Raw genomic sequence first — 2719 nt, 5'->3', positions numbered from 1 at the left:
TATGGCTGGAGCACAGGTGGTTGAGGCTGCAGTGAGCTGTGATTGCACCACTGCGCTACAGCCTGGGCAACAAAGTAAGACCCTGTCTCAAAACAAAACTAAAGAAACGGTGTGGTCAGAGTTCATAATAATAAGAGAAATTTTTATGTTGTAATTGTGCAACAATGTATTTTTGCTTTTTACAAAAGTAAAACTTATTAATTGTGAAGAATACCAATGATAACAACATCAAAAATAAAATAATTTGTAATCCCACACCTACAGATAACCATAGTTGTATTTTGGGTGGATTCCTCCCAGTCTTTTTAATGTAAGTATGCATATGTGTGCATATTTATTAAAAAAAAGGGTTTCATACTACACGTACAACTTAGATTAGTTTAACTTGACTAAAACAGGTGAAAAAAGTTGCAAAATCATATACATGTCATCAGTTTAAGTATTTACAACAAAGTAGAAACATAGAAAAAAATATATACTATGAGGAAATACACCAGTATGAATGCCTTTGAATGGTGGACTGAGGAAGGTTGGCTCCCTCAAGTAGATTTGATGTTTGTCTGCATCATTAATAGACTTGATTCCAGGTTCTCTAAGGTTGGAAATGGTAGGAGTACTGGGAAAGAGACATGGGAAGGGGTCCTTGGCTGACTCCCATCTTGAGCTTGTCCATTTGCTGCCCACTTAGCAGGATGAAGCCTTGACTCTATTATAGGAGCTGGCAGGCTTCTCTCTTCCCAGTGGATACAGTGGGATCCAGGCAGGAGGCATCTCTGCAGGGGCTCAGGCTGAAGATTAGGAAGCTATGCTGTGTGTAAACCTGGATTGTGTTGTAAATCAAGTTTTCAGATAATCCTAAAACCTTAGTAAAGTCTCATTATAATGTCTTAACCACCCCTCACTCTCTTCCCCTCTTCCTCCCTCCTCCCCCATACACCCATGTAGAATTCTCCCTTCATTGACAACTCTGGAAGATCTGGATTTGCTTTTATTTAGAAAGCAACTGGTTTCCTGATAGAGTGTGCATTACTTTTACAATGGGAAAAATAATAAACTTTTGTTTAATAGATAAATAAACCTGGTGGGGGATATTTCTTAGACTCACACGAAGGCTTTCACTAATCCCACTGAGAGTTTACACTGTCTAGAAAGAATTGCATCTCCTACCAGGCTTCCTGCCTACCCTGGGTCTCTATGGCTCCTGCAAAGGGGTCATGATGAAGATCTAGGACAATCAGGCAGACTGCGACCGCCTGAGCTGTCAGCTCCTTCATTTTGCTGAACTCTGTCTTATTTGCTAACAAGTCCGTATAGCAAGTGTACCCGGGCCTCAACTGACTATTTTATCAGTGAGGAATTAGCTGTATTCCCTGACGCTAGAAGGAGTGTATTTGAAGATTATTGTTACTCTGCTCCTTGACCTTCTGTCCTTCAGTCTAAATAATCCCAGTTCTTTTAACCTTTTTTCTCCCACAAGCTTTATTGTTTCCAACCTTTTAATATCCTCACAATTCTTCTCGGAACCTCTCCCAGGCCTCCTCTTTCCTCTTTAATTACGGGGCTCAAACACAATATTCTAGGAAGCGCTTGAGCAGTGCTCAGTAAAATGGAAAGCTTATCTCAAGATTCCTACAGGCTTGGGTTTATGAGCCACCCCAGGGTTGTGGTCACGCAATGCTGTCTTTTTAAGCAACTGCTTAAAAATACCTCATGACCAGTCTATTATCTGCTGGGAGCAGAGGCCTGCGGAGGCTGTTCCAGTGGCACTGCACAGCTGTCCTGCTGGCGGCCAGCACCTGTGTGCACAGATGAGGGTGCAACTGCCACAGTGTGACTCTGGGGACCTGGGTCTCCTCTTTGAGAATGTTTCCCTCTTCAGAAACACCCTCTTCCACCAAATGGGCTGTCTTATAACCTTCTACCTCGTTTCCCTTCCAAAATGGGAAAGAATCCACTATTATCATGTATACTTTGCCCCAAACTCTATCTTGTCAATGTGTGTTTCTCTCAGGAATTTGCATGTTAATCTTTTTTACTTCTAATGGCAAAACGAAAGGCTTTGCTCACTGTTCAAAGAATCTCAAATAATAGCAAGTAAATGGGCTATCACCTCTATCTATCTACAACTATCTATCTATCTATCTATCTATCTATCTATCTATCTATCTACTATCTATCTATCTATCATCTATCTGCCTACCTATCATCCTTTCCTTTCTTCTCAACTCTGAGCTCATTAGTCTAACTGTTCCTGAGGGTAACTCTCTTTTTCTCAGAAGACCTGGGGACCCTGAGACAGAGGGCTACAGAGAAAAGTCTTTGATCCGGCTTCCTTCCTCCCTCCCTATTTCCCTTCCTTCCTTGTATCCAATTCAACAAAAATCTGTAGAGTGCATACCTCTTGTGCTTCTTCCAGGTTCTCAACCAGATTTGGGGACAAAAATAATGAAAAAACAGAGCCTCTACCCCAAATGCCCCGTAATTTGGTAAGAGGAGACAGACACATAAAAAAGAAGCGTAACAAAATATTAAGATATTGTTCTGAATATTGTGTGACAAAAATAAAAGAGCGGAGAGGAACCTGGACAGGCTTCTTAGGGGAGTGGAACCCTCTTTTCTTCTGCTGTTAATCCACACTCCTTCCTTACCATCCTTCTGTCCTGAATCTCCCAAAGTGCAAGGGAGGGGGCCAAAACATTTTCTTCCTTCCTTAGTCATC

At 41.6% G+C, this 2719-nt stretch overlaps 1 annotated feature.

The window, feature by feature from the left end:
* Positions 1173–1997: a transcriptional cis regulatory region, noted in NCBI's record as "candidate enhancer chr4.1581 targeted for multiplex CRISPR interference". NCBI's record gives its function as "positively regulates KIT gene expression with high confidence in K562 cells {active_cell/tissue: K562}" and the evidence as "EXISTENCE:mutant phenotype evidence [ECO:0000015][PMID:30612741]".

The sequence above is a fragment of the Homo sapiens genome, chromosome 4 (genome assembly GCF_000001405.40).
Source record: "Homo sapiens chromosome 4, GRCh38.p14 Primary Assembly".
Taxonomy (NCBI): Eukaryota; Metazoa; Chordata; class Mammalia; order Primates; family Hominidae; genus Homo; species Homo sapiens.
This window is presented reverse-complemented; position numbering and strand designations above follow the sequence as displayed.